Raw genomic sequence first — 12,712 nt, 5'->3', positions numbered from 1 at the left:
TACCTGGCTAACTTCTGTTCCTCTTGGGCGCAACCCAGCTGTCGGCTTCTCCTGGAAGTTTTCTCAAGCTGCATTAGGTCTACCTTACTGTGCTCCCTCATTTATGGAATTTCACCCCACAGAAATCCTTCCTGTTCGCCCACATAAACTTCTTGAAGGCTGGGCTTGTGTCTTTTCCCCTTGTACTCCCAGCGCCCAGAGCAGTGGGCAATAAACAGTTCTCCCTCCATCATTTCAGCACCAACTTTCCTTCGGTCTTGCTCTTGATGACTTAGACACGTGTCCTGGACACTGATGATGGTGATTATAATTACAGCCCTAGGGGCTACAGAGCTGAGTAGGCTATTTATCTCTGCCCTAAATAGGCGCAGACCACTGGGGCTTTGAAATGGTCCCTCCACTCTTTCTGCTGTGAATTCTCACCTCTTGCTGCTGACTGTGTGTCTTACTTTATGCCCAATTATTGGGTGAGGGCCTCGCCTGTCTTAAAAATTAAATTGCAGGGCTCTGAGCTGTTTTCCTTGACAAGCAGGAGTCTTGTTCTCTACCTTTGTCTCTGTGGTTTTTGTCCTCAACCGTTGGAATGGCAGGAATTTGGCTTTTGGACAAGCCATGGGGGCCGCTGCAAGGGCTGTGTGTGAATTGCCCCCTGTAGATCTGGGGAGTGTGGATGGACAGCACGCCAGCTGCAGACTCAAGAGCTTCCGGATTGTTTCAAGGGCTAATTTGATTAAGAATAACTTTAATTCCTGGAACCTGCTTTGAAAACTTGCATCTGTGTAAATGTCAAGTTTCTTAGTGTCAAATTGAAAACCACAAAAGGACAGATGTTTTGCTTAAGCTGGAGGACGACTAGCCCAGTTGGAAGAAGGACACACAGGGAGGCCAAATGGGGCCACCAGGACAGAGCCCGGGCCCGGGGAAGTGCTTCTCCTCTGATGCGTGACGTTTCCCGCAGGTGTGCCCTGTCTACAAGGCAGGTCAACACGAGGACCCAGCTGAAGGCAGTAGCGCACCCACTAGGAAAATACCTGTATTTGTGAGTGGCACGGGCACAGGAGCCACCTTGAGAAAAATGTGAACATTCCAACCACCCAGTTACAGGAAATACAGAGCTCACAGGAACATGTTAGATTGCACCACTGGCACACAAGGAGCAAAATCCAGCATAGGGGAACTCTGTGGGACTGCACAAACTCTATTTTCCTCAACTAATAAATTGCAAGGAAAAGAGAGAGGGGGTGGAACCTCTAGGTCAGGGTTCTCAACCTCAACACCCTTGTCATTGGGGCTGGATAATTTTTTGTTGTTAGGGGTCTCGGGGGCTGTCCTGAGCATGATAGGATGCTTAACAGCATCCCTGGCTTCTACCCACTAGATACACTCCCCACCAACCCAGTTTTGACAACCAAAATTGTCCCCAGACATTGTCAAGTTACCCCTTTAGGAGCAAAACTGCCCCTAGTTAAAAGCTCCTGCTGTAAATTCAAAGAGGCTTAGGAAACATACTGACCAATCACAATGTATGGACCTTATCTGGATACTGAAACAAATAGATAAACTGTTTAAAAATAAAAAAAGAAATATTTATGGGACAATTACAGAACTGTATACTTGATACTATTAAAGGGTTCATTGCTAATATTTTAGATATATAGTGGCATCATGAATATCTTTTTTAAATTCCCATTTAGAGACACATATTGAAACATATAAGCGAAATGATATCTGACATCTGCGCTTTGCTTCAAAATAACCCAGGGCAGGGGCAGGGAGTAAAACAAAGAAGAAACAAGATTGGTCATGAGTTAAAGATAATTGATGGGTCGTGGAGCTTGTTATACTAGTTTCTCTACTTTTGTATATATATTTTTTCACAAAAAATATGTTAAATGAAAGAAAAAGAATAAAAGAAGGGAAGGACTAGTTAGGACTCTGAAGCTGAAGATATTGTTTCTCCTCAAAGAATCGCTGTCACCTTCTCATCAGCTTTTCCCAATCTTCCCTTTAATCAGATCCCTCTGGAAGCCTGTGTCAGTGGTGTTCACCACTCTAAAAAGCTCAAGCTGTGCAAAGGAAAGTCACATTGGGCTGAATCCTTGTTGCATGAGAATTTTAATAGTTGATGTTATCTGCATGACCCATCTTGCCCAAGCAGTTCTCTCCCTAATGAGTTCTGGCAGTACAAGGTAGGCATTCCACAAATGGCTTTTGCATGCAGCCATCTGTGAGTGAATGAACTGGTGAATGGGCAGAGTTCAAGGTAGTCTGCTGGGCTGTGGGAGAGATGTGACTTAATAAGTAAGTCACGGTCCCTGCCCTAGAGGAGTTCACTGTCTACTGGGGGCTAGTTTAAACAATCAATGCGAAAATAATTCAGAACGAAGGAAATGCTAAGTAGACTCTAAGCAATGTGACATGGTGTGGCCAATTCCAAGCAACAAGGAGAGCCAAGTCTCAGCTCAAACCTTGGGGCCTGATCTCAGAAGGAGCAGCACCAATTCTTATGACATCCAGTTGCTTTTTACGATTCTTTCAGTTGTGAAGTCATAAAAGTTGTCCTACTCTAACAAATTCACCGGGGAGACTTGGCTGGCTACAAAGGAGAAAGTCTGTTTACATTAAAAAGGAAAAAAAAAAAAAAAGAAAAGAAAAACAGATGAACTACTGCAAGAAAACCAAAAATCAGAAAAAGCTGTCGGTGGCTTAATATGCTCTTTAGCGGCTTCAGAAGATCTGACTCATGCCTTTTCCTAATATGTCTTCCCATGTCAAAATCCACCACCTCAAAGGGAAGCAGAAGATGGTCTTACGGAGACCATGCTCTAGGCAGCTGCTTCTGAATGGTGCCAATGTGTTAGCTCACCGCCCGAAGTGCAAAGTCCTTTTAGGAAATTGATTTTCCTTGGATAAAGTCACTTCCCTCTCTGCACCTCAGTCTCTTCCACTGTAAGATGAAGCAGTTGGATGAGATCAAGCATGGCAAATTTGTGGCACACTTGCCACTCCTTACCACTCTGTGCTCAAGAAGACAGGCGTTGCTAATTGAGCTAAGCACCTTTCCACACCGAGCCCAGACATACCGGGCCTACTCAGTGGAGGATTCCAGTCACACGCAATCCATCAGAGGGAAATGATGCTTGCCTCAAACGTACTTGTCATCTCTGGCCTTCAATGTCCCAGAATTTTAAGTGAGTTTAAAAATCCCTGACCAAGAACACATCCACAGAGAGAAAACCCAAGCACACAATTACTTCACATCCAAAGGTTATGGAGAACTTCTACTTGCTGAGTGTCATGATGGGATTCAGGCAGAAGACAGAGAAGACAGGGCCCACTCACCCAGCTTCTTCCACAACTTAAGGGGCTTATGATTTGATTAGGGAGAGGAGACTTACAGGAAAACACAAGCCACAGCCTGACACCAGGGCCAGATCACGGACAGTCAGACCACAGCAAATGGAGGTGGAGGTGGCATGGAGTGGGCAGAGAATAGGAGACTTGAGCTGAGCCTTGACGGATGAGCAGAGTAGACAAAACAGCCAGAAAAGCCAAGGTCATTCGGAGCCAGGCCCCTGCCCTAAGCTCTCCCGCTGCTCTCCTGAGTGATAAGCGAGCCCCTTCTCCTTCTGGGCTGTGTTTTCTTTGCAATGGGCTCCATTCCTAACCCATTTTGCAGGTGATGCAATATCCATGGGGATGTTGGGTGGTGAGGCTGTCCTAACAGCATCCAATAATAGGAAAGGAAATTAAGCTTGAGAAATCCACACTCAAAGGCATCTTTTCTTCCCACAAAGGAAGTATCTGGAAGAAGTTTGCTGGTGTGTGAGCATTTTATCCATTTCCCCACACAGACTGAATTTAGCACAGAGGGTGGAAATGAAAGGATCGGGGAGTCCCTGATCTTAGCTGCATAAACTGTAAGAATTCTGTTTTCAAAGTGGCTACCCCAAAACTTTACGCCAGAAATAGAGCTGACCAAGGCAGAATCTGCAGGTGAAGAAGTCTGTTTTAGCTGTGTGTGTAGTGAGATAATGTAAGACCGTATAATGGTAAAAGGCACTGTTCAATATGTGTACAGGGAAATATACTTTTATCTGTTATTGATTTCTAAAGAGGAGTAATTTGAGAATGTGCCTCAGCCTAACTGTAGAGGGATGGATTGGAAGCCTATTTCATGTCTCTCCTGGGTCTGACCACAGGTCAGTCGGACAACAGACTGAAGGCATGTCCTCTCTCCACAGTGGCCAGGCTTTGGCTCAAGGTGGAATACAGTCCCTGGACTGGGAGCCCAAGACCAATTACCCAATCGGTCAGACCTTGCCGCCACTGTGTGCCCAGTTTTCTGTCCCTTTGCATGATACAGATTACAAAGGATGGCAGTCAGGTGGGATTTGAGGTGTGCCCTTGTGGCAGAGGAAGCAGCTATTTGTCTGTTTAGGGTCCAAAATGGGGGCTGGGGGAGCTGGAGGGGGGCAGATGACTCTGAAGCTTAGAAACTCATCTGGTCTTTTCTGACTCTGTTACTTTTTATCCATAAATGTCCCCTAAGAGAACACAGAAAGGAGATTTGATTCTATTCTGCTTGCCCTCACCATGCTTCAAATCACAGTAGTCCGAACCAATGAAACTCCCAGAAGACATCTAGCCCAACACCGCCCCATGTCCCCATTTCTTCTATTTTGATGTTTTTAATCAGCAATTGTCTGAGAAGTCCACTTGACAGGTTTGTTGGAATTGTGTCAATTAAAAATAAACAGCTTGGAAGTGGAAACTACCCAAAATATCTATGAACAGTCCAATGGATATATAAATTGTGGTGTCATCAGATGTTGGAATACTATACAGCAATGGAAAATGAGCAAACTGCAATCAGACATAATGGTAGGAAAGAAGGTAAAAGTAATCCATGATACAGAAGTTAGGAGAGTGGTTCTCTGGGGGAAATAGGGCTAGGAGGTAGTATGGTGGAGTTTCTGGGTGCATGTAATGCTCTATTTCTTGATTTAGGCAGTAGTTACTTGGATGTGTTCTGTTTACAGAAATTTGTCCAACTGTAGTGTTTGTGTACTTTATACATATTATATACCAATAAAAGAGTTAAAAATCTATATTTTACTTATGTCTTGTATGATTCCATTTGTATGAAATATCCAGAAGAGGTAAATTCATAGAGACAGAAATAGACTGGCAGTTGCCAGGGGCTGGGTGGACAGGAGAAAGGAGAGTGACTGCTTAAGGAGTACAAGGTTTCCTTTTGGGTAGAACTAGGTAGAGGTGATGGTTACATGACATTATGAGTGCACTAAATGCCATTGAATTGTTCACTTTAAATTAGTTAATGGTCAATTTTATGCTATGTGAATTGTACCTCAAAAAAAAATTCTATCTAGGATGGTCACCTTTTAAGGGCCATCTTTTTTTTTTTTTTTTTTTTTTTTTTTTTTTGCTTTTTGAGACAGAATCTTACTCTGTCACCCAGGCTGGAGTGCAGTGGCACAATCACAGCTCACTGCAACTTCCACCTCCCAGGCTCAAGTGATCCTCCCACCTAAACCTCCCGAGTAGCTGGGACTGTAGGCACACACCACCATGTCCAGCTAATTTTTGTATTTTTTGTAGAGATGGGGTTTTGCCATGTTGCCCAGGCTGGTCTCAAACCCCTGAGCTCAAGCAATCACCTGCCTTGGCCTCCCAGAGTGCCGGGATCACAGGCATGAGCCACTGTGCCCAGCCTAAGAGCCATCTTTGTTGCTGTGATTCCTGTAGCTCAACAGCTTTGCCCTCCCTCACTCTTGCCATGGCTGCAGACAGCTGAGGTTGAGGGGCTCTGGTCTGAGTCCAGATAACTGGGGAGTTCCAGGATAATGCCCAGGGAGCTGTTACAGGGAAGTAGACTTAGACTTTTAAGCAGCCCACAACACCTCCTAGAGGTCCTTGGGCGACGGAGCCTGGGCTTGTGGAGTGCCAAGCTTTATCCGACTGCCATGTCAACACCACTCCAGAGTCAAAGACTTCCCAGGCCTTCAGCCCCATCCTCATCCCTGCCCTAGGCAAAGTTGGGTCTGGAACGTTTCCCCTCAGCCTTGGGAGGAAACTCACATTCGAAGCAGTGTGTGAGCCCTGGCTGGCGAGCGATGGCCACTCACACTGTTATCCCTTTCTCAGCAATAATGTTTAGGTTCAGGAAAGAGTTCCAAGATATATATAATTCCTCATGCTGAGTAAGGGCTTCAGCCTGACTCCACAGCTGCCCCGGCTACTGCTCTCTCCAGGAATGTTATTACACCAGCACTGGCCCGGTGCTAGAGATGGGGTCTCTCAATGTTCTCATTATGTGCTCCGTATTTTTCAGGTCATGTAATTCAGCTGTAAAAATTTGCCCCTGGCTGCACCTGGCATAGGAGTGGCACAGAGGGGTGAGTTTATTTTTTTAAGGTACTGTTAAAAATAAATTTAATAAGGGAAAGAGAGAGGAAAAGAGAGAGCAAGAGACTAAGACTGTGTTTAATTTGAACTATGAAGGAGAAGATATGAACCGAAGGTCTGAGATCCTGGTGCTTTGGCTGTATGTGTGTCTGTGTGTGTGTGTGTGTGTGTGTGTACGCACGGGAGACTACATGTTTCTCCTGTGTAACTTAAAGCCAGCTTTGTTTATTTAACTGAGATTTTCCAGATCGTTAGTTTGTGATGTGGCTTAGTTTATACTGTGCAATATCCCATTTTAAATACACTCAGGTACATAAGTGAAATGCAACGGAGCTACTTCAATTAGCAAGAGCATGGGCAGCAATTAAGTTTAAATGAACATTTTCATGAGTCTTTTCTTCCCCTTCCTTCTCTTAGCCATGTAATTAATGAGCCTCTGAATGAACCTACTCTCTGTCTATGGGCGTAGAAGATTTTGGCTCTGGAATCCAGGACATATAAATGGAGAGGAACGCAAAGGCCTCCAGGCTGCAAGCTGAGGGGGCAGGTGGCTGCCTTTCCATGTTGCTCTGCGTGGGTAGAAGGAGCCTCTCCCCTTCCAACAGCCTCACCTTAGGAATATAGGATAGGCCATGGGTGACCTTAGTATGTAAACCAAACCCCAGCACTTTTAGAGTTCTGTCCCACTTCTGGCTGAGAGAAGCTGTTTGGGAGATGCCACATTGAATATTGGGCTTTCCAGACTATTTTCAATGACTTATAAGAAAAACTGGGATGTATGAAATTGGCAAGTCCTGGAAAGACTGAGATGGTCCCGGTAATTAGGAGGTGGGGCAGACAAAGGTAGGAGACTGCTACATCAAGTCGTCCCTTTTTCTGCTTGAGCTATGTCACCAGGGTTTTGGGCATGTCTGTGTCACCTGGAATCCAAGTGTGATTGTTTTCATCCAGACATTCTACCAAGTGGAAACCAAGAGTGGAGGCTCAGTCCACAGTAAGAGAAGGCACAGGGCCCTGGACAGAAGGGCCTGGCTTCCAGGGGGATGGGGATCCCCAACGCGGGAGACTCCTTTCCCCTGTGACCAGAAGCTGGGGTCTAAGGACTCCTCCTGCTCAACCACATCCACTGGTCGGGGTCCACCCAGGCCAAGCACAGAGCTGCGGAGGGGCTGAGGTGGCCTCTGCCGGGGAATGGAAAACGGCTCTCTTGGAGGAACTGAAGGAACCCCCACTTCCGTCTTCTGTCCCTGGTGCCTGCATGGCAGGACCCTGGGACCATGAGCTCACAACTCCTCCCCGGGTCACTGTGGTGGACATCAGGATCACCCCTCGGTGCTCAGTGTTTGGATAGGGCACCCTCACGTAGCATCTCCCCCACAGGCCACCCAACCATAGCTAGGACACCTCTCTTTGGCTGGCCATCACCTCCACCCACTCTATTTGACAGTCGGTGGACGCTGTGCCCCCTCAGAAATCAGACCGAGGGGAGCTCAGCGTTCGGCCAGACTCGGGCGCCACCTGGTGTCTGCGGGCGTCCCTGCGGGTAGACTCGAGCCCCAGTTGTTTGCTTCTTTGTTGTTCCTGCTTCTTTTAGACCCAGAAAGGCTCTGTCGCAAGAGGTGGGGTCTGTCTCAATTACAGCGGCTGAGCAGGCACGGGTTGCCTGGGGACATTCCTTGATATTCATGTCACAGGACATGCTGTGCTCTGCACGGGTTTTCACACCTCACCATGAGGTTCTCAGGCCCTCAGTCAGGATTTCAGGGGTTTGTTTTGTTTTTTTAGGTAGGTAGGTAGGTAGATAAGGTAGATAAGAGTTTTGGGGGAAATGGGTTGTTTAGGAGTGAGGCTGGGTTTCTGTCTTATCTCAGCCACTTACCAGCTGTGGGATCATGGGAAAATTACTTTAATCTCTCTGAATTTCAGTTTCTTTATCTGTAAAATAGGAATAACAACACCCACTTCAGAGGGTTATATGAGACTTAAAATAAGTCCTGCCAAGTTCTTGACAACTGAAGGTGTTCAATAAATGTTAGTTCCTTCTTTCCTTAGCAAAGACAGTCATAGATAATAATATAGGTAGTAATTAAAGTTAGTGACACAATGAGAGTAATACTAATTTTTTCTTCCTTCCTCTTCCTTTGTTTTTCTTTCTTCCTTCCTTCCTTCCATCCCTCCCTCCCTTCCTTCCTTCCCTTACTTTCTTTCTTTTTTCTTCTTCTTCTTTTTCTTTCTTTCTTTTTTTTTTTTTTTTTTTTTTTTTTTTTTTTTTTTTTGAGGCAGGATCTTGCTGTGTCACCCAGGCTGGAGTGCAGTGGTGCAGTCTCGGCTCACGACAACCTCTGCCTCCCAGGCTCAAGTGCTTCTCCTGCGTCATCCTCCCACAGGTGCATGCCACCAGGGGTTCACCATGTTGCCCAGGCTGGTCTCGAACTCCTGCGCTCAAGTAATCCTGTCCGCCTCGGCCTCTGAAAGTGCTAGGATTATAGGTGTGAGCCACCGCACCTGGCCAGAGTGATACCAATTTTCTTCGTGTGTGCAGTGACAGGCAGAGCAGCGGCAGGGAGGAGCTCTTCATTCATACTTTCCTCCAGGCCCCTCCAGCGTTTTTCATGGCTGAGAAAGGGAGTCTGGGCTCTGTGTGGGGAGCCTGACTATAACTTCATTGAAGAGGCTAGTGGCACATTTCCATTCCAAACTGTATACAAAACTGGCTAATAAATAATCACTGTTGATCAAGCTTTGGAAAGTCCTCATCATCATTTACTGAGCACCTACTATGGGGAAGCCACATTTAAGTATTTTACCAATAGGGCCCCATTAACTCTTGTAGCTGCCACTCAGGGTCAGTTTTATTATCCCTATTACCTAGATGAGGAAACTGGGGCTCAGGGTGTCTCAAGTCACATATCTAGGAAGCAGTGAGGTTCACACAGTTCCAAATCCAGTTTGCCCTCTTCCTGCTTCTTGCAACTGCCCCTCAGAGCTGAGGCATTCTCTTAGGGGTCTTCTTCTGAAAGAACAGCCTGTCCCCGAACCAACCAGAAACAGCTTTCTCCACCAGCCACAGCCCCGGCATAAATCAAGTCTAGGTTCCTGCCCATGGGTCATTGGTCGGGCTCCCAGCTGTCTTCCGGATAGTTCCTGGCGTGTGGCTATATTAAGAATGTGAACCGTAACATTAACACTTAAAAAAAAAATTCAAAGAGAGAAAGAAAGAAAGGAAGAAATACCCCTAAAGAGACTCACATCAGGTCTAGCCAAGAGTCATAAATCAATGTCGGTAAATTTATAAACAGTTCATAAATGTAAGTGCTTTTCACAGGGCTGTTTGTTATTGTGTCGGGCTGAGCTGGGGGTGGGGCTGGGGGTGCAGAGAGGCACTGCATCCATTCTGTCTCCGGGTGAGGAGCAGCTCAGATGGCCCCGGTAGCAGAAGGAACAGGGATGGGACCAGTCCTGGTTGAATACTCACATCCAGGTGGCCACAGCATGACATAGGCTTGAGTGAACTGAGAGAACCAGCCTGGATGGCAGGTGAGCTGAGCCCTGAACCTGAACTGAGATTTTGAAGACATTTACAAAAAAAAAACCCCATCATAACAACTGTGTGGGTTTTTTGTTGTTGTTGTTTGTTTCCCAGATTCCCTTTTTTGCTTTTCTAAGTATTCTGCTCCTTGAAGCTCTGGAGGGTGCAGGACTGAGATGAGTAGCCAAAGGGGAATCCTATAGAATAGAGAAAAGAATTTTACACACACAGTCCCCACCCCACCTGCACACTTAATGGCACCCCCACCTCATCTCCACTCAGCCAGTTCCAGGACCCAAAGTCCAGTGACACCAACACCCAGTGACACATACTCTAAAACTGAGGACAGTGACAAGACAGAGAGCCTGGGTTTTGTCAGCAAGAAGGGAAAGTAGCTGGCCCCCGCTGCCATCCTGTCACTGGGTTGCAAAGCAGCAGTATTTGGACCCTGGAAGCTCAGAGGGCAGCTCGTGAAAAGAACTTCTCTCTATTTCTCCATTGAGACTAGGGAACACACACTATCCTCTGCATTATCTTTATGTTTCTCTCTTCTTTAGGTACCCCTTGACTCACACACGTACCACTTCTCCATTAGCCCCAAACCAAGGACGCTGTGCATAGAAACTCTTGCAAATGGATCCTTAGGGTAGAAGACAGGGTGTGGGGTTGCCCCAAGCTTCACCCCAGAAGCTCCAGCTTCTGGAGTTCCAGCTCTGGCCCAGTTCAGATGCCCTGTGGCATGTTCACCTCGACATGTCCCACCAGGTAGCTGGTTGGTAAGGGTGGAGTGAGAGTAGGTATCACCCCCTAGCCTTGGCTGCCCCCTTCCAAGCCCCAGCCCCCTTTGCTGTTGTTTGAGAGGATGTGGAGGCTAAGTGAAAGCTAGGCCAAGTTGTGACTTTGCTATTATACTTCACAGAGTCAAGGTCCATTCATCCCTCTGGAATGGCACATAATGAAAGCAGATTCTTAGAACTGATGCCTTCTGAGAGCTTCTCCTTCCCCAATTCTGAGACACACACATTTTTATGTGTGATTATAATTCTGCACACAAAGCAGCTCTTAAGACTTTTTTAAAAAAATGCATTTGCCCATTTATTGTAACAGCTGTTCCATTATTCTATAACCTTGTCCCCCCATTTCTGAGAGACCCCGGTCACTGCACCCTCTTCAAGAGGCTGCCGGGTTTGACAGAGTCGCCTTGCGCAGGCCCATGAAAAATTCCTTAACCAACTGCACCTTTCCAGGCCGGCACTAAACAGGGATTTCATTTATTTGAAAAGTAGGTATTAAATATGTCAGATATAGGAAGTTAAATGTAATGGGCCCAATTCCACACTCGGTTCCATATGCGTAAATCCCACTGATGGAGAACAGAGTGCGGCTCAAGCAGCAAAAATGAGGTCCCAAGTCTGTGGGAGGAAATTGCAGCCTTGATGGATCTTAGCTGACATTCTAATGGACATCAAACCAAGACTGTTAAAACTGGAAGGCGCCCTGAAGTTCTGGGGTTTTATCTTTTTATTTCTAAGTTTTAGGAGTTGTCGCATTCCTCTGCTTCTTTCTTTGTTTTGTTTGTTTGTTTGTTTTTTCCTAACTCCCAGTAAACATTTACCATTTCTCTTCAGAGCTTTTGTTTCAGCTCACCTGCACTGAAGCTGTTTCCCAAGAGGATGACCCGGGTGCCTGCCTGGCTAAGTAACAAGCAAACATTTCGGAGCCTAAGTTTGGGAAAGAGCCTGAAGGCCCCTACACCCTGAAGCAACATTCCAAGCCTTGCTGCTCACAATGCGGTCCCGGGACCAGCGGCAGCAGCAGCAGCCCAGGACGCTTGTTAGAAATGCGGCACCTCCGGCCCCACTTCAGACGTTCTGAACCCAAATCTGCATTTTATCACGATCCCAGGTGATTCATGTGCCCGTTAGAGTGAGCGAAGCCCTGGATTAGAGAACAGAAATTAGACGTGACCCTTCCTTTGACAGGAATTTATCACCAGGCTCTATCTCAAGAACTGTGAGAATTCGGTTCAGATGTTTGTGATAACTCTGCAGCAGTAACTGACTAGCGTGGTGGTTCTCTTCCCTGACTGGGCGTTGGAATCAGCGAGGGAAGTTTTAAAAGATGTTGATGTGCAGAATTTACCCAAGAGGTTGTGATTCAATGGGTGTCTGGGAAGGGGCTGGGACATCTGTGTTTACTTAGAGTTCCCCAGGTGATTCTACTGTGCAGCCAGGGCTAAGAGGCCCTGGGGTACAAATATCATCTTGAATGGTTAGACTTCTTTCTGAATGGGAGTGATGTAATTTCCGATTTGCCCACCGAGCACAGCATGCTGGGCCCTGAGGATGTTACAGAAGTGGATACCATTATTGCTCTCCAGGGACAATTCATCGAGGAACAATATGGCATCTGCAAGGTGAAAAAAGAGCGATAACAGGAGATGCCGCAAAGTGTGGCTTCCAGACACAAGAGTGTGCTGGGAGGAGAGCTGAGGAGGTGAGTGCATGGCAGGAAGGGATGAAAACGGACTGAGCATAGAGAGCTGGGAGGGAGAGGGAAAGGCCCTGCGTGACACATCCTTGTGGCATGTGAGAACTAGAAGGTGCTTAGGAATCTTCTAGTTTTGCCACAGGATACCATGCTGCACCATTGACATTTTGAATCAGATCATTCTTTGTTAGGGGCTGCCCTGTGCATTGTAGGATGTTCAACAGCATCCCTGACCTCCACCTACCAGATGCCAGTAGCATCCCC

At 46.6% G+C, this 12,712-nt stretch overlaps 2 annotated features.

Annotated features, from left to right (window-relative positions):
* Positions 11,230–11,729: an enhancer, noted in NCBI's record as "H3K27ac hESC enhancer chr6:44619645-44620144 (GRCh37/hg19 assembly coordinates)". NCBI's record gives its function as "activates a minimal SCP1, AML or CMV promoter by ChIP-STARR-seq in primed H9 embryonic stem cells {active_cell/tissue: H9 hESC(primed)}" and the evidence as "EXISTENCE:reporter gene assay evidence [ECO:0000049][PMID:30033119]".
* Positions 11,730–12,231: an enhancer, noted in NCBI's record as "H3K27ac hESC enhancer chr6:44619143-44619644 (GRCh37/hg19 assembly coordinates)". NCBI's record gives its function as "activates a minimal SCP1, AML or CMV promoter by ChIP-STARR-seq in primed H9 embryonic stem cells {active_cell/tissue: H9 hESC(primed)}" and the evidence as "EXISTENCE:reporter gene assay evidence [ECO:0000049][PMID:30033119]".

The sequence above is a fragment of the Homo sapiens genome, chromosome 6 (genome assembly GCF_000001405.40).
Source record: "Homo sapiens chromosome 6, GRCh38.p14 Primary Assembly".
In the NCBI taxonomy this organism is placed as follows: domain Eukaryota; kingdom Metazoa; phylum Chordata; class Mammalia; order Primates; family Hominidae; genus Homo; species Homo sapiens.
The sequence above is the reverse complement of the archived record's forward strand: the minus strand, read 5'-3'. Positions and strand labels throughout refer to the sequence as shown.